Source organism: Homo sapiens, chromosome 7 (genome assembly GCF_000001405.40).
Source record: "Homo sapiens chromosome 7, GRCh38.p14 Primary Assembly".
NCBI classification, from domain to species: Eukaryota; Metazoa; Chordata; class Mammalia; order Primates; family Hominidae; genus Homo; species Homo sapiens.
The window spans coordinates 53,787,793-53,812,211 of record NC_000007.14 but is presented as its reverse complement, the minus strand read 5'-3'; the positions used below and the strand labels follow the sequence as shown (position 1 = coordinate 53,812,211).

At 37.8% G+C, this 24,419-nt stretch overlaps 1 long non-coding RNA gene across 1 annotated transcript in view; it reads left to right on the top strand.

Annotated features, from left to right (window-relative positions):
• Nucleotides 1-280: 280 nt before the first annotated feature.
• LINC01446 (long intergenic non-protein coding RNA 1446) overlaps nucleotides 281-24,419 on the top strand; it is a 156,423-nt gene continuing 132,284 nt past the window's right edge. The window contains exon 1 of the long non-coding RNA NR_038371.1: nucleotides 281-704. This is a non-coding gene — a long non-coding RNA (long intergenic non-protein coding RNA 1446). The remainder of the gene's footprint in view (nucleotides 705-24,419) is intronic.

Genomic DNA, 24,419 nt, shown 5'->3' with positions numbered 1-24,419 from the left:
AGTGAGCCGAAATCGCACCACTGCACCCCAGCCTGGACGACAGAGTGAGACTCAATAACAAATAAATATTCACGCAGACAAATACTATCTGTGATGGCTAATCCTAGGGGTCAGCGTGGCTGGAGGAGGGTGCCTAGATGGCTGGGCAAAGTTCTTTCTCAAGAGACTGTGAGGGCGTTGCCAGAGGAGATTGACAGCTGAGTGGGTGACTGGGAGAAGAAGACCTGCCCTCAGTGTGGGGGACCAGCCAATCCGGTGCCAGCGCGGCTGGAACCCGGCCGACAGAAGATGGCGGATGAGCAGCGTGCAGGGTTTTCTCCCTGTGGCTCACTCTCTCTTACTGTGCTGGGCGGTTGCTTCCTCTCCTGCTGCCCTTGGGAGTCAGACTCCAGGTTCTTCAGCCTGTGGCCCCTGGGGCTCTCGGGCCTTGGAGGACTGACTAGGAGCACACGGTGGGCCTCTCTGGTTTGGGGGCCTGGGACGTGGCGGAGCCCTGCAGCTTCTGTGCGGCCTGTTCTGGGCGTCGCGTTGAAACGCCAGCCAGTTCCCCAAGTAAGCTCCCTGCACACACGCCTGATAGCCTGTTGGTTCCGTCCTTCTGCGGGATTTTCACTACCACTCTCTAACTCACACACAGCAGAAAGAGCATACGGGAGAGATGAAGCAGTCCACTCCAAGAACATTCTCATCCTACGGATTACGAGGTTTGCCTGAAACCGTTTGTATATGTGCATAAATGTGATTTTATGTCCAGCATCTTTAAGCATGTGGTACAGAGGGAAGGTGGGCAGCCCAGAATTCGTACCTCGGCTTTCAAATTTGGGCTTCAATTATAGTTCTGACACCAGTTTCGTGATTTTTAAAACTCATCACCCATTTGGGGAACTTTGTTTTCCCATCTATGAAATATGGATAATTGTGCCACATAATATTTATTTGAAGAGTGACAGGATATCTGAAGGTCATTAATAGTCAAACATCATTTAAGCAAAATTTATAACGTTTTTTACAAAATTGAATCAAAATTGGATAAGGATTTATAAAGAGTAAGTCAAATTTTTACCAAGACTTCATACCTGATATCTGTTTTATTAAAATGATAGGCATTTTTGAAGATTAAAAAAAAGCAACTAGACAAACTATCAGAGATACAATAACGTTTTCCAAGCTACCAGTGATTTAACCTAAATACAGAGTTCACCATTTTCTAAGCAATTAAGAAAATGAGATCTCTTGCTAATTAATAATTAGTAAAAATATTATCTATAATATATAATCTCTTATATATTATATATAATCTCATATATTATATATAATCTCATATATATAATCTCATATATAATATATAATCTCATATATAATATATATAATCTCACATATATATATAAAATGAGAGATAAAATATATATGGTTCTGTCTCTCTGGAACCTTAACGTAGGTGTTAAACATATTCATAATTTATTCTTTTAATAAACATTATTGAAAACGAAGTATCTGTCAAACATTGTACCAAGTAATTGAGATTTAATGGTGAAAAATCACAGTTTGTGCTATCAATTTAGAAGGAAAGACATTTGAGCAAGCGATCGTTTCAAAACCTATGATAAGTGAGTAATTTCAGGACATTATGCTATGTGCTAGATTTATACAACCAAAAAGAGTGGAATGACGGGGAAAAAATGTCTTTATTTAAATAGGAACCACAGGGATTGGGCGCAGTGGCTCATGCCTGTAATCCCAGCACTTTGGGAGGCTGAGGCAGCCGGATTACCTAAGGTCAGGAGTTCGAGACCAGCCTGGCCAACATAGTGAAACCCTGTCTCTACTAAAGAAAATGCAAAAAAATTAGCCTGGCGAGGCGATGGGCACCTGTAATCTCAGCTACTCAGGAGGCTGAGACAGGAGAATCTCTTGAACCAGGGAGGTGGAAGTTGCAGTGAGCCAATATTGCGCCCCTGCGCTCCAGCCTGGGTGACAAAGGAGACTCCACCTCAAAAAATAAATAAATAAATAAATAAATAAATAAATAAGTAAATAAATAAATAGGAACCACTGTAATAAGAGTGAGTTTATAGGTCCACTCTTTAATATTCCCAACATTTTTATTTATTAATCAATTTAAAATTTTTAATATGTATATATAAAAGTTGTATATATTTCTGGGGCACATGTGAAATTTTGATACAAGCATACAATGTGAAATGATCAAGTCAGGCTAATTAGGTTTCCATTACTTCAAGCACTTATTATTTCTTTGTTTGGGAAACATTACAATTTCGTTCTTTTAGTTATTTGGAAATATTGGCAATAATTGCAACATTGCTCTTCCTCCAGCACAAATTTCCTTTAGTCTTATTTACAAAACTATGGTAAGGAAGTTGAAATTAAATTCAAAGTACGCCATATTACAGGTAAAATGGTTCCATAATAAAGCACACTGAAAAATTGTTGTATTTATTAGTTGAGAAGACTGTCACAGCAACTGTCCCAATATGTAGAAAACATATCTCTCTAACGTGTATATACAGACACACACACACACACACACACACACACACACACGTATTTATAGTGCCAAGCTAGGCAGCTAATAAATGTGTTCAGCAACAATATATAAATCAATAAAATAATAAAGGGATAGATTGAATTAATTTTGTTAGAAGATACAAAAGTTGAACATTTATAAATTTTAGGTGGCTTGAACTTGACCTTTTCATTTCACTCTTTCAAAAAATAAAAGGTGAATTTTGTTTTGCTTTCACCCAGAAGAATTATAGTAAATGCATAATTCAAAAAATATAAAAATAAAAACAAACCTAATTAGTACAATACATCATATAATATGTTCACTTTCTTTAAATTTTGTAAACTCCATACTACTTTATTACTGCAAATCTAATTACAGTGAAGTTACGTTTTATTGACTATATTTGTTAAGTTCTAGAGATTTATTTTTCAGGATAATAAGTACACAAGAGCAAAAATACGTATTGTATATGAGATCAAAGTGTCTAAAGGATACTAATTTTTTGGTGTATGGGTGTAAGTTATTTTTTTCTTTGTATTTAGATGAATTACACATTGTGAGAAAGCAGTGCAGTTTTAGAGAATTATTCTTAGATTTCTGATGATAATTCATGATTTTATTAAACATTAAAAAGGAAAAAGTAGTAGCTGTAACATTAATATAACATTAATATAACACGAAGCAGGACTCTGCTGAGATTTTTTTTTTGTTAACAGTATATTTAGTATTTATTTCAATAAACACTCAGGGCTTTTTTTGTTTTAATTTTTGTAAAGCCAAAGGTACAAATACCATAATTTATAATATTTTCCTGGGTGAAATATTTAGATTTAAATATATTTTTTCTCAAATATTAATATGACTGCATAAAATTTGTGGTTACTAAAGCCAGCTCTGATTTAAGTAAATGATTTTTTCTTCTGAAAACTAATGAAAAAAATAGATCCTAAATCCTCCAGAGCAAAATAATCTTTAAAATTGGGACATAAAAAACATCTCATTTGGGGGTCTGCTCAAATGAGAATCTAAGAGCTTTATTAGTTTTCTTACATGTCTTCTGTATTATGCCAAATTTAATATAGTGACTGAAATAGATCATATAATTCTATGCATCTAATTAAGTAGGTCTCATTACTATATATACTTGTATATTTTTCTTTCCTTTTATTCTATTCATATACCTTGGAGTGTCATTTCCACTTGACTTTACGTTTGCACTTTTGCAATTTTTCTCTTCAAAAGCTTTATGGTAATATAATGAATATATAATACAATTTAGCCGCTTAGTGTACAATTCATTGCATCTTAGTATATAAACAATGTTGCACAGCTATCACCACAATCAATTTTAGAGCATTTTAACAGCAGTCCCTGTAAAAGAAACTCCATCTCCAATTAGCAGTCACTCTGCTTTTTAAATTTTTTCTTTTGTCTTCTTTTCTTTTCTTTTTTTTTTTTTTTTGAGACAGTGTCTCACTCTGTCGCCTAGGCTGGAGTGCAGTAGCGTGATCTCAGCTCACTGCAACCTCTGCCTCCCAGGTTCAGGTGATTCTCCTGCCTCAGCCTCCCAAGTAGCTGGGACTACAGGTGTCCACCACCACACCCAACTAATTTTTGTATTTTTAGTGGAGATGGGGTTTCACCATATTGGCCAGGCTGGTCTCAAACTCCTGACCTTGTGATCTGTCCGCCTCGGCCTCCCAAAGTGCTGCGATTACAGGCGTGAGCCACTGTGCCTGGCCGCAGTCGCTCTACTTTTACAGCCACCCCCACCCTCAACTCTAGACAACCACTGATAAAAGTTCTGCCTCTATAGATTTGCTTGTTCTGGACACTTTATATAGTTGATATAAATGGGGTGTGAATTTTGTCAAATGATTTTTTCTGTGTCTTTTGAGATAGTGTGTGTTACATCAATTAACTTTAAGATGTTATGGCACTCTTGCATCCTTGGAAGAAATTGCACTTGATCTTTGTGTGTAATCTTTTTATGTTTCTGGATTCAATTGCTAGTATTTTCCTGACAGTTTTTACATATATTTTTGTAAGAGACATTGGCCTCTAGTTTTATTTTTCTCTATCTTTTTCTGGTTTTGATACAGCATAATACTTGCGTCATCGAATTACTTGGAAAGTGCTCTCTCCTCTTCTAATATTTTTGTAAAAGTTAGTGAAGAATTTATATGTATTATTTCAATGTTTTGTAGAAATCATTGAGCAATTTGGAACTGGGTTTTGGAACTGGGTTTTTTTTTTTTTTTTTGAAATGGAGTCTCGTTCTGTCGCCCAGGCTGGAATGCAGTGGTGCAGTCTCAGCTCACTGCAACCTCTGCCTCCCAGATTCAAGCAATTTTCCTGCCTCAGCATCCTGAGTAGCTGGGACTACAGGTGCACACCACCATGCCTGGCTAATTTTTGTATTTTTAGTAGAGATGGGATTTTACCTTGTTGGCCAGGATGATCTCCATCTCTTGACCTCATGATCGCCCTCCTTTGCCTTCTGAAGTGCTGGGATTACTGGCATAAGTAACCTTCCCCAGCTAGGACTGAGTTTTTTTTATTAGAAATGTTTAATTTTTTAATTCAGCTTCTTGTTATAGATCTATTCTCATTTGCTATAATTTTGTGAGTCAGTTTTGGTACTTTCTCAGAATTTGTTCACTTTGTCTAAGTGACCAAATTTTTTGGCATAAGTTGTTTATAGTGTTTTCTTATAAGCCTCTTTATTATTCTACAACATTGGTAGCCATATCTCCTCTTCTTCCATTCTTGATATTAAGTTGCATCCTGTCTCTGTTTTTTTTTTCTTTACTAATATAACTAATGGTTTGTCAATATTTTGGTCTATTCCAAGAACCAAATCTTGGTATCATTAATTATCTCTCTTATTTTCCCAGTCTTTATTTTGTTACTTTCTGCTCTAATATTTATTACCCTTTAATATTTGCTGTGTGTATGTGTGTGTTTACTTTTCTCAGTGTTTTAAGAAGGTGGTTCTGGTTACTCATATGAGTTCTTTTTTTTATATAAGCTTTTCAACTTTGAAGTTCCTGTTGTATAATTTAAAAATTGTCTGGCCTTTCTTTCACTTTCTTACCACTAAAATTCTAAAAACTCTTATAACTTTCCAATGATGGAAGTATCTTGGTTATTCAACGCCCCCTTGAAATACACTTGAAATTGTACTAATGAGGTGACTCATGGTAAGACCTTAAATAGCTTTTAAGATTGAGGCTGCTAATGTCAGAAAGGCCACTCATATGATTAGAGGCTTGCAGTTTTGTGCCAACAATATCAGCCTTACCCTTAACCTCTGTGGAAGGGAGGGAGGCTGTACATTGAGTTCAATTATGTGGCCAATGGATTACATTGACCATGCCTATGTAATTACATTTCAACAAAAACCCTGGACACTAATGCTCAGTGGACTTTCCTGATTGGTGAACACACTGACATGCAAGGAGAATGATGCAACCTAAGAAGGCATATGAATTCTATATTCCAGACCCCTGGGAACCTCACCCTGTGTATCTCTTTGTTTTGCTATTTCTGAGTGGAGTCCTTTTTAATAAAATTGTAATGCTAAGTATAGTGTTTTCCTCAGTCTTATGAGTGGTTCTAGTGAAATTATAAGACCTGAGGAGGGTGGTGGAAATATTCTCGATTTGTAGCCAGTTGATCTGAACTGAAGACAATCTTGTTGTGGACTGTGCCCTTTAACTTCTTGAGTCTGTGCTAACTCTGGGTGGTTCATGGCAGAATTGAATTGTACTACCTCAGTTAGGGTTGGTGTCAGAATAGTTGGTGTCAGATATGGGAGTCACTAGCATGATCCTGGCTCATTGAAATCTGTGCTTTGAGAAGAGAAGTAATGAAAGGGAAGGAGATAGGGAAGCTTGATTTACAAGTGGCCATGAGGTTCCCCATGGTATAAAATAGCAGATATGCTGTAGTCAGTTACTGAAAGTAAAGGTTACCAGTGAAATTCAGGTATGATTGTTTCTTCTCTCAGAGAGGTGCATTACTGGGTGTATAAGAAAATGTAAAATAGAAAAAAAATAAGTTTAGAGTAAAACTGGTGTTTGAATGTGTTAACTAGTTTTATTTAATTTACCTAAATATATTATGGAGATAATTAGGGTGTCTGACTAGGGGACATTTCCTCTATGTAGTGTTATAAAACAGAAACATGGAAATCTGCCTTTAAAGCTATATTAATTGGACCTGCTAAATAGGAGTTAATAAGATTGTGTGAGCCCAAGCAAGAAAGAATAGAAAGAAGCAAGAGTGCTAGTATAGAAAAGTTATCTGTGCAATAACCTTGTGTGGAGCACAGGCTGGGGCTTATAATAAAAGCCTGTAAGTATCTTCTAGTGAAGTATATTTCAGCCACAGTGTGAAACATCTAATTTTGTCCTCAGATGGGTCAGCCTTTGGCATGTGGGCTTTCACTATGAAAGAGGGGACTCAAAAGTTGCTTTCCTTGATATCTCGGTTATGCTGCCTACATCTGCTGATATCACACCCAGAAGTTAGGCTCCACTAATTGCCAGCTGATTCTATTGCTTTAACAATGCCTGGGTGGGGCATAAATTGTTTCACTTGTGATATAATTGATGTTGGGCCCTTTTATAGACTTTAAGATTGGTCTTTGAGGCTTTCACTGACATGCTAGGTGGTCTCTTTTCATCTTTCTCTTTCTTGATTTTCTCTGATAAATTTCTAGCTAGTCCAATGTTTAGCTTGTTGCTAATAAGGAGTTACCAGCCTCTTCTTTACTGTTTACTACTGAAGTCTCCATTGTTTTTGAAAGCACCTTTAGGGTTGAACTTCTTCACAATCTGTTCCAAACAGAGGCAATGAAGCCCATGGAGCTCTCTGCTCTTATGTTTTCACTCTCCTTCCGAGAAGCAACTCTGAACCCTACTCCAAAGCATGGGTAGGGACGAGATGCTTCTCTTATTCAAGTTACTCCCTTGCTTTATGAATAGGGCACTGACAAGTGGTGATCACTTCTAGTCTTCTTGGGCTGCCTGACCAGCATGGAACAGGTAACTTACAAGTGATCTGGGGTGAGGCTGATAAGGGTTCAGTGTTCCTGGCCTCCTGTTCCTTTGTTGGGGCTTCCCCTCTCTAAATGAGGCCTGGATGGAAGAAGAAAGTCCTGTTCTTCTTATCCAGCCTTGTCTGGAATAGAGCTTATGCAAAACAAAGCAGGGGTGGAGGATGAGAAATGATGGTATTCTGCACTTCCTGGAGAGATGCCATAATTTTAGAATAAAAGGTAGAGGGAAAGGGAGTCCTGTGTTCTTGGCTATAGCCACTGGGATTTGAGCTTCCATCATTCTGAGCCATGAGGCAGGGAGACAGAGCAAGCTATGGTTCACATGCCACTAACTTTCACTGTTCATATTAAGATTTGGTAAATTTCTTAAGTTTTCTTGTCCTCCATTCCTACTTACCCATAAGACAGTTTCTAGAGACTTTAAATAGTTCTTTTTTTAAAAAAATAATTTTTATCAGCTATGATCATTCGGCTGGGAAAAAGGTTCTGTAGAGTTTCTCATGCCATCATTCAAAAATCTTTTTGTACTGTCTGCTTTCAATCTATGGTAACACATAAACTGAAGCATCAACAAAAACTTCAAGTCTAAATATAGTAATTACAGATGAGTACTTCACTACAGTTCAAACCCTTATAATAATTTTCAGAACTCAGCTTCAGGGAAAGGAGTTAGAGAAAATGGAATAGCAGGCAGATGACCTATCCATTGATACAAGATAAAAGAAGGCTAGAAGAAGTCTTTTTGTATTTTTTACAAATAGATTTACAAGCATTTATTCATGTATTCTTAAGATGATCACTACTGAATATGCAGTGCCTATCAACACTCCTTTTTATTTGTTATTCATGTAAAATAACCACAGGTTCCTTGGTATTTAATGTTTTTTTAAATGTGGTCCAGGAAAACAACACCTACCTTCTCTCTATTCTTTCAACTCTCTGGAGTTGAAAACAAAGGGAAAAAGGAGTAGAAGAAATGTGATAGATAATTTTTTAGTTCTTTTACATTCATTCTGGTAGATAATCTTTTAGTTCGTTTACATTCATTCTGGTGTAATGAACATTATTTTTGGTTTTTCTACCACGTAAAGAATACTGCACTAGAAATGATAATTTAAGCCTAATGCTTCACTAGTTGGAGAAAAGAAGATAATATTAAGTGATGAAGAATTTTAACGTACCAGGTAAGTTTTTTTAAATGCCATAAAATATCTTTCATTTATGATTATTGATTTGTAATTTATATTTGGGGGAAATTCAGTATGCTATAATAGGTTTGTTTATTTTTTGTTATTTTAACTCTATTATTCGAATTGGTATACATTTATTTTAAATCTGTAGGTAAAATACAGATATGATGACAGGGTACGATGATTAGCTGTGGTTTTTGACTGGCTTGGCAGTTTGGGGATATTGCATTTAACCAAAATATGTTTGTTTTATAAACTCTTGAATTGCTGCAAGAATCACTATTCCATGGCTAAACAAAATAACAAGAGATGTTAATTTCTGATTAAGTGATTTGAAACATTGAGTCGGCCGGGCCCAGTGGCTCACGCCTGTAATCCCAGCACTTTGGGAGGCCAAGGAGGGCGGATCATGAGGTCAGGGTTCGAGACAGCCTGACCAATATGGTGAAACCGCTTCTCTACTAAAAATACAAAAATTAGCTAGGCATGGTAGTGGGTGCCCCTAATCCCAGCTACTCAGGAGGCTGAGGCAGGAGAATTGCTTGAACCTGGGAGGCAGAGGTTGCAGTGAGCCGAGATTGCGCCACTGCACTCCAGCCTGGGTGACAGAGCACGACTGCGTCTCAAAGAAAAAAAAGAGAAAGAAACATTGAGTCAATGGGAATCTGATGAAAATATTTTCATATTTTAAATTTAAAAATTGAATTTTGGGACAAAAATAAGCTATACGCTAAAGATGACAGGTTATTGTAATTGATGTAATAAGTATAGAAAATATCATGGTCTGAAATATAGGGAAGGAGCAATGATGATGAAAAAGAAATGGAACTGTTCAGAAAGAAGATTAGGGCTATACAGTAGCTAATGCACTGCAAGACTGATTGCCTACAGCTATAGAGCCAAAGTCAGTGAAAGACATGTGATATTAGATACTTAGATTTTAAAAACTTTGTTAAATAAATAGAATATATATGAATACGTTTAGGAGCTATATCTGCCTTCAATGTTTATACTAGCAAACAATAGGATATTGTTGGCAAATACAAGCCCTATAGAGTTATTTCATACTAGAAATATTAAAATAAGAATAGGTACACACTTTAAACAAATTTAATGAGGCCCCAGAAACATATTTTAAGATTGAAGTTGAGAAATTAAGGAATATAAAGTCAACTTTAAAGAACATCCTCTTTCAAGCTTGTCAAAAGCATTGTAGTATGGGGTGGGAATGTAGAATCAAAGGCGAAATACAACTTATGTCAGAATCACCTTCAGTGCCAATTAGCAATGTAAATTCCTTTGATGAGATTTGCTGGGATAAGCAATTTTGAGGACAAGGGCTGGAAATCAACAGTTTATAAGATATCCAGGTGATTCTTATATGTACTAAAATTTAAGAATCACTTCCCCAGTCCATTGCATTACTAGACAACTTACAATATGGAATCTGTTTGATAAAATATATATGGTGATTTCAGAAACTGAGGAATGAAAATGCATTTTTCCCTTTATTCACTTAAAGAGCATGGGGCCAGGGGGAGGACTGTGGCCTGCGGGATGCAGGAGATGCCCTTAATGCACCCAATGCATTCTTAAATAAGAAAATATGAAAGGTATTTTTTATTTAATGATGGTTTTCTTTAAAGGCCTGTACCATACCACTGATAGTTAATTCATTATGAGTTATTATAAAAGGTTGAAATATACATGCTTCAGATAATCTGGTTTGATCCATAGCTAAAATTAGTAACGATTAGACATACCATCTGAACTTTAGTAGCTTTTCTTTTCTTTTCTTTTCTTTTTTTTTTTTTCAGATGGAGTCTCCCTGTTGTCAGCCTGGGGTTGGAGTGCAATGGCACGATCTCGGCTCACTGCAACCTCCACCTCCCAGGTTCCAGCAATTCTCCTGCCTCAGCCTCCCGAGTAGCTGAAATTACAGGCACCCGCTACCATGCCCGGCTAATTTTTGTATTTTTGGTAGGGACGGGGTTTCACCATGTTGGCCAGGCTGGTCTAGAACTCCTGACCCCAGGTGATCCACACACCTCAGCCTCCCAAAGTGCTGGGATTACAGGCATGAGCCACCGTGCCCAGCCAGTAGTATTTTTATAACAAAACATTTGATATTTTTTATACTTATTAGGGCTTAGGTCAGATCTACATACTCTGAAAGTCGGTCAAAGGAAGTTCATTCACATGTGAAAATAAAAGGCACAGGTCTGTCCCAATGTGGTCATGCTGCTATAACAAAATACCATAGACTGGGTAACTTAGAAACAACAGGAATTTGTTTCTCACAGTTTGGGAGGTTGGGAAATCCAAGGTTAAGTCACCAGCAAATTTGGTGTCTTGTGAGGCCGTGTTCTTGGTTCCCAGACAATTCCTTTTAGCTGTATCCCCACATGCTAGAAGCAGGGAAGGAGCTCTCTGGGATTTTTTTATGCAGATGCTAATACCATTCACATGGGCTCCATCCCCATGAATGAATCACCTCCCACAAGTCCCACCTCCCAATACCATCACCCTGGGGGTTAGGATTTCAACACATAAACTCTGTGATGACACAAAGGTTCAGTCCTGCAGGGAGCTCGCTAAAATTATACCTATACGTTGTGGAAGAATTCAGGAGAATAAGGCGAAATGGATGTGTTTATCTTGTACATTTCATTTGCACCAAATTTATTTCTGAGTTTTCACTAACACTTGTTAAAATAGGGAGTGTCCAAGCTTCCAAATTCTAGCCAATTGAAGCATTCTATGTGGGCATTTTATTTTCAAGTTATCAAGGAAAAGCAGTTGTTAGGGATGAAAATCATCCCTAATATAAAGCTCTTCATTTTTAGTCCAATTTAATAAATTTTTTTGTGGGAGGAAGTTCTCACAAAAGAGTACAGTCCAATGAATATTTTAAATTTCTTTAGCCTCATTCCTCAGAAAGAGGACATTTTAAAGAAACATATTAAAGGAATGTAAAAACCACATTCTAAAAGTTTTACACTCATTTGCTACAATTTCAAACCGTTTAATTTTGTCTTCAGTCATTACTTTGATTTAATTGCTGTTATTTAGAACCTTTAAAAACATTCAATCAGCTGTTTTCTGTTTTAAAGCCACTAATTTATTAATGATTTATGTCACTTCACCTCTCGAATTCTTGTTTGTTTGTTTTTTCTAATTTTAGTGTAAGCTTGGGGAAATCAGATCTTTCTGTACCTCATGTGTGTGAACAAGCCTAAGGTTTATATTTTATTTACCTATATACTTGGAACATAAAAAGGAGTGTCCCGTCCACAAATTAAAACCCAAAGTACCCAGAGGAAGGGCCTAACGTCAAAAAGACCATTTGACAGTGAAGATTCTACTCTATATTGTGGCTGCACATACCCATTGCAGCAAATTTCTGAGACATACAGCTATTTTGATGAAGTTGTAGATACATTTCAATGAACTCACTAAGCCAACTGACCCTGAGATAACAGGTGCCATTCAGGAGTTAGCACTTTGAAATAAACTCAGCAGATACCTTTCATGCCAGTATTAAGCATATGGTTTAGTACAATGTAATTCTCTAAAATGTTTGTTAGACAGTCACTCAGTCAACCAGTCAAGAAATACTTATTGAAAAATCTACTATTTGCCAGGTACATCATTCAACTGGAGACTAACAGGGACCAAGACATGAGCATTGTCCTCCAGGAACTTCTAGCCCACTCAGAGATACAAATGAGTGCATAGGAAAGTAAAACACTGTGTAATGTAGAGAAAATAGAAGATTAACATAAAGAGGCAGCAAATATCTTTTGAAAGTCAAATAAGGCTTTCCATTGTGGAATGAAATAACCTAAGATGAGATGGATGAACAGGTTTTAGCATATTAGTGGTGGTGGTGGAGTGCTGTTCAGTGTTTTATGCATAAAAGCATGGCAGGTGCAGACTTCCAGAGTTTGGAGAGTATGAAGTGGATTGATTGAGCTTCGTTTTATATCAGTATTGCAATGGTATTACTGATACTGAGTGCATTGACTTAGAAGTGTTTTCCTTACTTTCAATTTTGGTTTATTTTTATGCTAAGCAAGTAAAGGTTCATGTTCAAATACTTAATTGTCATTATGGAGTGCCCTTAGCTGAGATGAGGCCTTAGGGGCATGAAGTAATGGCACTTCGGGTGGAATCTGGAGTTAAATGCACTTCAAAATTCGCTCCTGTGTTTCTCAATGCTTGGTCTAGGAGCTAAGAATAAGTGTATGTATCCCAGGACTACATAAAAATCTCATTATCTGTCCCCAGAGTCAGATTCTACCACTGAATGCCTAAAACTTGTCCCTAGGGCACAACCTTAACATTCAAGTCTGGTGCTTACCTTTTTCTTCTGAACTGTTTCTGTTTTATCAAATCTTTGTTTATTCCTCTGAATAAACCACAGCATCTCGAGTTTCCTTAGTGATATGGAGGAATCTTCTGCACAGACCAACTGACTCACTAGATGTCTGGGTTTCTGTGAGGTATTTGAATGGTCGTTAGAAATTCTACATCATGAAACATCTCCTTGGCAAGTACTGGGCCATATGGGAGAGATGAAATTGATTGGATGGCTCCTGATCAGCCAGATGGAAATCAGGATGCATGGAAGCTGAAGTTCCATGCTATGCCCAGGCCTTTACTCCCTATGGTCTGTCCACTGACTTGGAGATACACAGATGCCAAGGAGAAGACCTTCAAAATGATGCTTGCAGTGACGCTGTTTAATGTTCCCTGTTTTGTGGGATGTGGGGGGGTCTTTACATTTGATGAGGTTTAACAACATTTATTAACTCATCTGTAGCATATGTTGAGAACTGCATTTTTCACAGTCATCCCAAAAGTTCCCATCGGTCACATCCCCACCTAATACTGAATGTTTTGCCCATAGGAAGAAAGAGGGGATTATAAGCTATAAAAATATTTTGCTATGATAATTTTAGATTTATTCCAAAGCCTAGGCACACCTACCACAGATGTTAACATATTCTGAATTCATTAAGACAGTCTCACCTTCTGACAATAAATTTTGCTACTTTAAACTTCTAACCTAATCCTTGATCAGAGTATGAAGGAAAGTTTGTATCTCAGAAGAGGCTTACAAAGCAATTTACAGGTCACAAAAAATAAACAAAATAATAAAATAACACTTGCTAATATTTAAAGTTTGGTCAGATTCTAGTCCCAGGGATTTATGTGTTTTACCTCCCCTCGCATACACTATTTCTATGAGGGAAGCACTGGTATGACTTTAACTTTATATTTGAGGACACTGAGGTTGAAAGAGTTTATGCAACTTTTGAAAGTTCTCACTTAGACTAATCTAAAGCTCAGGATTATAATCATGATCCCATCGTGATTCCCTTGGCTTAAATTTTAAATTTAAACAATAATACTTCCATCATCTTGGTTTACTCACAGATTTCTTCTTGTGTTCAGGCTTTTACTTGTTCACTCACTAAGTTTAGCATGATTAGTTATTGGGGCACCTCTGCTCTTCACCCAGCATCCATTCTTGCAGGTTTTCAGCAGTATCCACTGCTCACGAGCAATCTACCAGGAATAATTGTCATGTGGAGAGCCAGAGGGGCACAAATATGAAGAAACACAGATTCTGCCCTTCGTTTCTCAGAGGGAGACACACGCAAAACTCATAACGTGGCTGACATGGCCAGAGCCATGGGGAGGGGGAGGCTGAGGTGCAGTGCAGCATGAGAGGATTGGACCCCCAGCAAGGTGGGCAGGGAAATCTGGGCTTGCAGCTGCTTGCTGTGTAATCAATATGCTTTTCAAAGATTTGAGGGTTGGAACTGGGAAGAGGCCTGTGTAAAGAGAGAAATTCATTCTCTGACCAAAAAAAAAAAAAAAAATTCCTCAAATACAGCTGGGTAGACAAATACATTTTGTGAATGGTCATTTTGATTACTTTACCAAGAGCTAAAGGAAAAAAAAAGTCGACTATTTGTTTGTAAATGGAAAGTGTATGGATTTCTCAGCCTTGGCTCTGTTGCTAACTTGGCTTCATTATTATTATTGTAATTATTATTTTATCTAACTGTTATGCTTCTTTAGAACATCAGCCATCAAATATCCAATATTCATTATCACCTGGTGAAGTTCCTACAGTGGTGGTGTATAAGTCAGGGTTCTCCAAAGAAGCAGAACTTATAGGATATGCATATATCCTGTAAATGTGTGCGTGTTTATATGTATATAGGATGTGTGTTTATATACATATATGTAGAGAGAGAGAGATCATAGGAATTGGCTCACAGGATTACGGAGCATGGCAAGTCCAAGATCTTCAGGCTGGCTTGGCAAGCTGGAGACCCAGGAGAGCTGATGGTGTGTGGAGGCTAAAGTAACGCTATCCCGGATGCTCATCCTATATGTTGACTTCTGACTAACTCTGGTTTTGGGAATGCCTCTAAGATTTCTGTGCTATCCACTGTTCCTTGTGTAAACATGTACTTACCATAAATCTTGCCCTTAAGCAATTGTTCTACACATCCCTGCTGAAGCATGGACATTCTGTCCCCATGGTGCATAAGCCCTATGTCTTGGGGGTAACTCCATGGAATCCACCATCCCATCCTGTGGCTGTCCAGGGCATGGTTCTGTTTGTAAGTCCCCATTTAGTGTTTCTGAGAAACTGGATATCTCAGACTCTGTCTCTGGCTTCTCAGCTTCCTCAGCCTTTGGGAGTAGGTTTACATAGACATGCCCACTGTGGAACACGGCATGAGTTTCATTCCAAGGAAAAGCTGATGTTTCAGTTCTAGTCTAAGGGCAGGAAGAAGCTGATATCCCAGCTTCAAGGTACTCAGACAGGAGGAATTTTCCCTTACTTAGGTGGAGTTGAACTTTTTGTTCTACTTGGTGCCTTTACCTGACTGGATTAGGCCTTCCTACATTAAGGAAGGCAATCTGCTTCATTCAGTCTTCTTAGCCAAAGACATCCCCAGAGAACCATCCAGATTAGTGTTTGACAAAATATTTGGGCACCCCATGGCCCGCTCAAGTTGACATATGAAATCAGCTATCACAGGTGGTTCTCAGAATGTGGTCTTGGGATTGACAGATAAACACTATCTGGGAATTGCTAGACATGCACATTTTGAAGTGCTAACCTTGATCTGCTGCCTCAGAAACTCTGGGGATGGGGCACAGCAGACTGTGTTTTCAGGAGCATTGCAGGCAATTCTGATGCAAGCTAATGATTGAGACCCAGTGGCAACAGGATTGCTCCTGCTTCTCTCAGATGTTACTCACTCACATTGAAACTTATCTGTTTGGAGAAGAGAGTTGTTATTTCAGGGTGCTTCCTACAGTTCACATCTGCACTGGGTGAACTCCATGGCCTATTAGACCAAGGAGTGGAAACATCTATTACTTGTTAAGGATAATTTTCAGAGTCCAGAGTGCTAACCATTACGTTGTGGGGCCAGATGTGGTAAGGATAGTTTTCAAGGTGTACATTTAATATGCTATAACAGGAAGTTGTGAGGACTGTCATTAAGCCATAGTATTAGTACTCTTCATGGTGCAGCACACCAATTCTGGACTACGAATCAAAACACCAGTGGTTTTGCACCAAGGCCAGCACACACCCAGCTGTGCTGCCTTGCAGCATGACTTAAATACCTCCAGCCTTGAAGTCTTTAGCTGTTACTTGCACAAATAATGCCAGGCCTGTCTACCTCAGATGTTTATTTGAGTATAAAATGAGAGAAAAAATGAACTAAAGCTTTTGATACTTGTGAAACACTGATCAAACACACAGGGAGAGAAAGGCTAAGTTTGATGTATTTTAAAAAGCAGCGTCAAAAATATCAGTGGGAGAGAAAGTGTCTGTCTTACAGAAAGCTGTAGAAGAGGAATGATGTGTCCTCTTGCTAATATTTCCTTCATCTGGAAACACCCATCACTGGGAAATTGAGGTGGCAAAGGAACAAATAGCTAGGCCTCTCTGTGGTCTTAGTCCTAGTAGTTCACACATGAAATCGACAAGAAGCAAATAGATTAGACTTTGGCAAATTCTTATGAAAATCAATCAGGGGATTAAAAAAATAAGACTTGCCTTCAATGATTATTCAAATTTAAAGAAATCTGATTGTTAATGAAGCCACACACACAGAACTTGGTGTGGAAACTGAACAGCTCATACAGGGTATTTTGCCTAGAGCTCAATGAAGTTGTAGTTATGGTTGATAGTGGATAAGGGAACTCCTCTCAGAGCACAGAGCCTGAGTCTCCCAGAATAGATACTGATGGCCTCAGCAGCCCATCTGGAGCAGCCACAGTGGGGATGCCAGCTGCAGCAGCGGAGGTGTGGCTGGGACTGTGCACTCACAGAGCAGGCAGGGGCCAGGGACAGGAGGGAGCCCTGCCCTCTTCTGAGTTGGCAGGTCAGAAGCCCTGCACTCCCAGGTGCAGCTGCCTCCACCCAGCCATGGTTCTGCACCCAGGCATCCCTGCATTCTTGGGAGCCCAGGAATCCCCCTGCCCAGCCAGGCTCAGAAATGTCTGCTCCCATTCCTCCTCACTCTTAGCACCTGCTATGGAGCAAAGTTAAGGCCAAACTTGGGTGCTGTCACTACCCAGCTGGTTGTGCACATGCTTGGGGTGGCACTGACATGCCAGCTGCCTGCTGCCTCAGCCCTCTCCAGACTTTGGGTGCCAACAAGCACAGGAGGGAGGCTGAGTGGGGATGAGAGCGATTCAGTTCGGGCCTGCAGGGGCCCCTTGGCATGAACTGCCTGGGCACCATAGATGACATGTTGATGGTGGCAGGAGGTAGACAGACTCCTTGGTGGAAAGGGACAGGTCCCTGGTAAAACCCCACCTTCAAGTCAGGGACAGCCTGAAGACTGGGGGCCAGGCTGCCAGTTATGAGTAGAGTCTGCAGTCCAGAGTGAGAACTTGTGGTGCTTTCTCTGGGCCTGCCCATGGCATATACTTTCCTCCTTCTGAGCCCATAAAAACCCGGGACTCAGCCAGACTCAGATGTCAGGACTACCAACTGCAGAAAGGAGCTACCCACTTCAGGTATCCTTGACTCTGTGAGATGACCTGCCTGCAGATAGGAGCTACTCACTCCAGTTCTCCTCTCTGCTGAGAGCTAAACCGTCATCGGGACCACCTGCCTGTGGAAAGGAGCTACCCACTTTGGGTCTCCTGAGAACTGTTCTGTTGCTGAGTGAAGCTCCTCTCCACCTTGCTAACCCTCCAGTTATCCACATAGCTCATTCTTTCTGGATGTGGGACAAGAACTTTGGAACCTCCAAATGGCAGGACTGTAAAAGCTGTAACACAAACAGGGCTGAAACATGCCCCTGCCACTTGCCATATTGCGGGCGATGAGAAGGACAGAAGAGCTGCAGTCCTTCAGAGATCTCAGACCTAGGGGTTCCCTGAGCTAGGGCTATGTCACCCTCTTTGGGGCTCTGTGGCTCCTGGCATCTCCAGGCTTCCGGGTACCATTGCATCCCCTCGTCCAGAGGTAGATGCCTGCAGCGGAAGCCATGTGCAGTACATCTGGTCCTGCTGCAGCCTCACATAGTGCTGGCACCTGTGCTGGCACCTGCAGCTGCCTACCCCACCACAGCAGCTAGCGTACCTGGCTGTCTACAGTGGACAGACCCCATGCTCACTCAACCACACACTCCTTCCTGCTCTACACCTCGCTTGCCCTTGGCAGGTGTGGGATCCGGGACAGTAGTGTGAGCTGGACGCAGCTACCATTCTGAGTGGGTGGAACGAGCCCAGCAACTAATACTCAGGCAGAAAGTGCCTCTAGGCACAGAGATTTCTGGCTGGTGAAGTGACTCCCTAAGGATCCCATGATAATAACAAAGCACTGGATCTCCTGTTAGGGGTTAGAGTTTTTCTTTTCCTGACCATCAGGATTATCATGTGCCACGGATACCTGTTTTCCATTTTTTATTCTTAATGGGAATTTTGTTGTAACTCTTCTATGTGTGCTCCAACACTGCAGAGACAGATAGGTTATCATTGAGCTTGAGACTGGCTCAAATCACAGATAATAGATTACAAACTGATGGTAATCTAGGTGACTTTTGATGTTACTTCTTAAAGATGTGAGTATGTTCCATGTGGAGGGACTGAGATTGTTCATGGGCAACCGTTAGCCTGTTTTCTGGACTATGACAGACAAATTGAAATGCAACTCCCATCACAATCCACTTTTCCCAAGTTTTTCTTGCAAATAAAGGTAACTATGTCATATACATCTATCAAGGGAGTTTTTGTGGGTCAGCTATGTATGTGTCTCTTTAAGAACAAAAAGCAAAACCCTACTAATAGTAATTTTTGTTTTGGTCATTTTCCCAGTCTCCTTCACCCAGCTTGGAGTTTTTTTGTGATACTTGGAGAAGCCACAGGTATCTGCTAGCCATGCAGATGAAACACGCAACCAGTCAACCCTAGAATTCTAACCTCTGAATTTTTGACATAGTGAACAAATAAACCCCTCTGTGTTTAGGTCATTTTGGACCAGTTTTCCTGTCATTTGAAAATGAGTACATTACTACATCATAAATGAGAACTAGAAAAAAATAAATCCACCCACTGGCAAAAGGAGATCATGCAGAGTCTTTTCTATCTCAGTCTGGGTTTGGCAAGAAAAATATTCTTCAGTAAAAGTCCTTAAATGATGCTCTTTCTAAGAAATTTGATGTTCACGCTTTTAATACCTGCACAGCCCAGTCACTTTCAAGCAGATATTAGGGTAAAATGTAGTTGGAGGCTGGTTTTGCAACTGGAATACCCGAAAGAAATGTCCAGCACCAAACATAGGATTCTTCACGATAAGATCTTTTTCAAAGATGTGCTCATAATACAAAATTAGCAATTAAAATACAAGGACACATGCATTACAATGATGAAAATTAAATGGACCAAACAATATCAAATGCTGGTGAGAACCATGAGCAACTGATACTCTTGCACATTGTCTGTGAAATAGAAAATAGTACAGCTACTTGGGAAAACAGTTTGGCAGTCTCTTAATAATATTTAAAAAGGCCTGCGCAAACATCCAGCAATTCACTTGATAGGTGTTTACAAAAAATGAATTAAAGCAAATGTCCTTACAGAATTATATTAGAATGATCATCACAGTTTATTCACTTTAGCCAAATCTGGGTGTTATGAATAAGCATATTGAAGTGTACTCATATAATTAAATTAATACATAGACATTAAGGTAAAGAAAATATGGACACATGCAGCAACATGAATGAAGCTAAAAATTATGTTGAACAGAAACAAAGCAAAGACAAAAGAGTGCATGCTTAAGATGTATATTTATGTAAATCACAAATACAGGCAAAACTAATGTATGGTAAAAGAAATCAAAACAGTACTTACCTCTGGGTAGCAGTTAATTGGGGCTGTTTGTAAAGAAAATTTCTTAAATAATGATGGTTGCAGGTTTGCTGATTTATTAAAACTCAGAAAACTGTAAGTTCTATTCCTTTTACTGTGTAAATCATACATCCATTAAAAATGATGAAATACACAAGCACACAGCACATGGGTCTAGTGCCAGCATGTCATGGGTAAACAGTGAGCAGGCAAAGTAACAACAGATTAGAATTTGGATAATTTAAGAGAGTCAAACTGTAGGTGAAAATTACAAAAACATCTGAAATGATTAAAGGCATTACAAAAGGAAATAATAAAAAGACATGAACAGTGAATAAGAAGCAGGCATATTTGAGAAAGAACCAAACAGAAGCCATATGTCTGTCAAAACCAATAGCCTAAAAGTTTAGATCATGTACAACTTGAAGATGAGTTACTAAATTATAAGATAGAGATGCAGAAACTATCTAGAATGCACCACAGAAATATGAGATAGAAAATATGTAAAAGGATATAAACAGACACTTCTCAAAAGAGGACGTTTATGCAGCCAACAGACGTATGAAAACATGCTCATCATCACTGGCCATCAGAGAAATGCAAATCAAAACCACAATGAGATACCATCTCATGCCAGTTAGAATGGTAATCATTAAAAAGTCAGGAAACAATAGATGTTGGAGAAGATGTGGAGAAATAGGAATGCTTTTACACTGTTGGTGGGAGTGTAAATTAGTTCAACCATTGTGGAAGACAGTGTGGCGATTCCTCAAGGATCTAGAGGACTATCACAAGGGCAGAAAACCAAACACCACATGTTTTCATTCATAAGTGGGAGTTGAACGATGAGAACACATGCACACAGGGCGGGAAACATCACACACTGGGGCCGGTCGGCAGGTGGGGGACTGGAGGAGGGATAGCATTAGGAGAAATACCTGATGTAAATGATGAATTGATGGGTGCAGCAAACCAACATGGCACATGTATACCTATGTAACAAACCTGTTGTGTGCATGTACCCTAGAACTTAAAGTTTAATAAAAAAAAGAAAAAAAAGATAATATGTAAAAGAAGGGAAAAGATACATGTGTGACAGGATGAGACAGTAAAACATATTCCTAATTTGAGAAAGATAAAGTAGAGTGACTAGAAGACAAGCAATATTTGAAGAGAGTGGCTGAGAATTCTTTTAATAGTTGAAGGATATGAATATTGATATTCAGGAAGCATTAAATTACCCAAACCATATGTATGAAGTAATCAAACAATAGGATGCTGAGTTATACAATATGTTGTCAGCCTAATTGTTATTTTTTTCCAGGAAATCTATATTTTTTGGTGGTACTAAGATTGCCTTTTTTTTGAGATATGGAGGTGTCAAGTTGTGGATTTATTTTTTTAAATTTTGCTTGGACTCAATATGCCCCTTTTATACGAAGACTTACCTGCTTATATAATTCAGCACTCAACAAAATGATAATATACATTTTTAAAGCACCTATTTAGAAAAATCGAGCCTGTGTAGGTCTCAATGCATGTCAACAAATGTCTAAGAATATATAAAGAATATTTTCTAACCATAACCAATCATATTTAAAATAAAAAACTAAGTAGTAGTAAAGCAAATAAACAAGCAAAACTGGAAATTAAAAAAAATCTAAATAACTAATCGGTTTAAGAGGACATAATAATGAATATTACAAATTTTTAAAATTAACCAAAAAATAAAATAAACCAAAAGCAAACCTATGGAGTTTATTTAACATGGTACTTGGAGGGGAAATATATTTACCTCAGGGTGTTCACCTAGAAACAAACAAGAAATATATAATTTTGTTAAGTGTTCAATACAGGAATTCAGAAAAAGTAAGAATAACTTTTTTTAATTGAAGGAAAAAAATTAATTTAAATGTTGGAAAATAATGAAAAAACTGGCAAAATCAAACCTTAAGTTTCTGGAAAGAAACAAACATACAAAAAAAAATACATGAACCATGAAGAAAAAATACATACATATAAAAATGTATTAATCATAGTAGAAAATGTAAAAACATAACAACTTTGCTCAAATTTGAAACCTCAGCATAATAGATATTTTTTAAGAAATCATATACATTATTAAAAATATTATTAGATATACAAGACCTGAATATTATGACAAGTATACTACCGCTTGTGTTTTCAGAGCACGTGCAATGTGTGTTTGCATATCTTTCTTTTTTTGACTTGCTCTCTTCTCTTTGCTGAATTCTGTAATCTCCACAATATATCTTCCAATTCAGTAATCATTCATTTCAATAATTCTTTCTTCACCACTATCTAATCTATTGTTTAATCTATGCATTGAGCTTTTTTAATGACTACATTTTACATATTTATGTTTCTAGTTAGCTGTATTTTAAACCTGACATTCTTTCTTTCTTTGTGATTATGTTGTCTAGCAGTTGATACAAAAGAGAAAGTGCAAGGTCTTCAACATATTACTTCAGTACATGCATAACATAAATGGCACTGAGACAACCTTTAGTGCTTCTCAGCAAACACTGCCCTTGCCTCCTCTCCTCTTGGGCGCATTCATCATTGCTTTGCTTTTCAAAAAATAAAATGTTACCACACCAATGTATATGTTATTTCAAAAGTTTTTCTTATACTAGAGATTTATGCAAAAAAAGCATATATATATATATACACATCTCTTAAAATATTTTTTCAATATTATGCTTCTACCATACATCCATATTGTTTCACCTACACTATGAGTATTTCATATATACTACATGCCCATTCTATATTCCTATTCTTCCTGATGAGCATTTGGGATATTTCCAAGTTTTGCTGTCAAAATAGTGTTGCTATAAGCATTCATGTGCCCATTCCTTGACAGTTATATGTAATGGTTTGTACAGAAACTATATCTAGAGAAGTCAAATTGCTGCAGGATTCTAAGGAACAGGCATGTTTATTTGCAAAATAAACTCTAATTTTTTTCCAAAGATACCAGCAAGTACAACAGCAAGTGACTGCTCATCTCTTCAAATTTTTGCCAAAACATGCTATGACAAATCCTTAACTTTGCAAATCCAGTGTAATCATATTCTGGAGGTTTAGAATGAATATTTTTTATTAAGTTAAGGAAGATATCGGTCTATCTGTCTATCTGTCTATCTATCTATCTATCTATCTATCTATCTCTCTCTCTCTCTACAACATCATCATCATCTATCATCTATCATGTCTCTATCCATCATCTGTGTATCTTTTTATACTATAAATGGATATAGTACTATGTTAAATAATCTTCTGCATCTAGTAACATGAGGTCAAAAGTCTTCCAATTTGTCTATCTCTCTCTGTCTCTCTCACTGTCTCTCTCAACTGCCCTCACTCTCTTCCTCCTTGTCTGTCTTTCTCTATTGGAAAAAATGCCTAGCTTTATATAGTGCCATAGAAAAAAGGCCTAAATTTTTTTCTATAAATATTTTGGATTATCCTGGTTAAATTTTTTCCTAGGCATCATGTAACTTATGGCTACTATGATTGTTATTTTAAAAAGTTTAATTACCTAACTCCTGATTGTACATAAAAGTGCAGTTCATTCTTATACATTAATCCTTTATCTATACCTTTATATATTGCTCTGTCTACATCTTTTAATGAAATATAATACATTTTCTATAGATTCTCTTGAATTTTCATTGTAGACAATTATATAATCAGCTATTTTCATTATGTTTATTTTTTATTTATTTATTTTTTTTGCACATGCTGGTCTTGAACTTCTGGCCTCAAGTGATTCCCCCGTGTTGGCCAACCAAAGTGCTGGGTTTACAAGCATGAGCCACCGTACCCAGCCCCACCTTTTCTTTATTGTACTTTATTATCTGTACAATTTAATTTGGATGTGAATGTCTCTGAGTTGTATATGAACATTAGAGTTGTTTTCCTGGCTTGATTGTAAGCTACTTGAAAATATGCTTTATTTTTTTTTTTAATGTGCCCTACTATGCTGGGCATATAAAATAGTAATAATATCTGAGAAAGTACTTTCACATATGTAATTTCACGCTGTCTAAATAAGTGTTAATTGCCATGTCTTAAAATACTGCTTTTACAGTACTGGCATAGAGCTTTGATTCTGATCTGAAGTAATACTGAGGCTCATTTGTGGAATTGCCTTTTAACTTTATAAGATTTTTTAATAAAATTATTATAAGATCATTTAAGA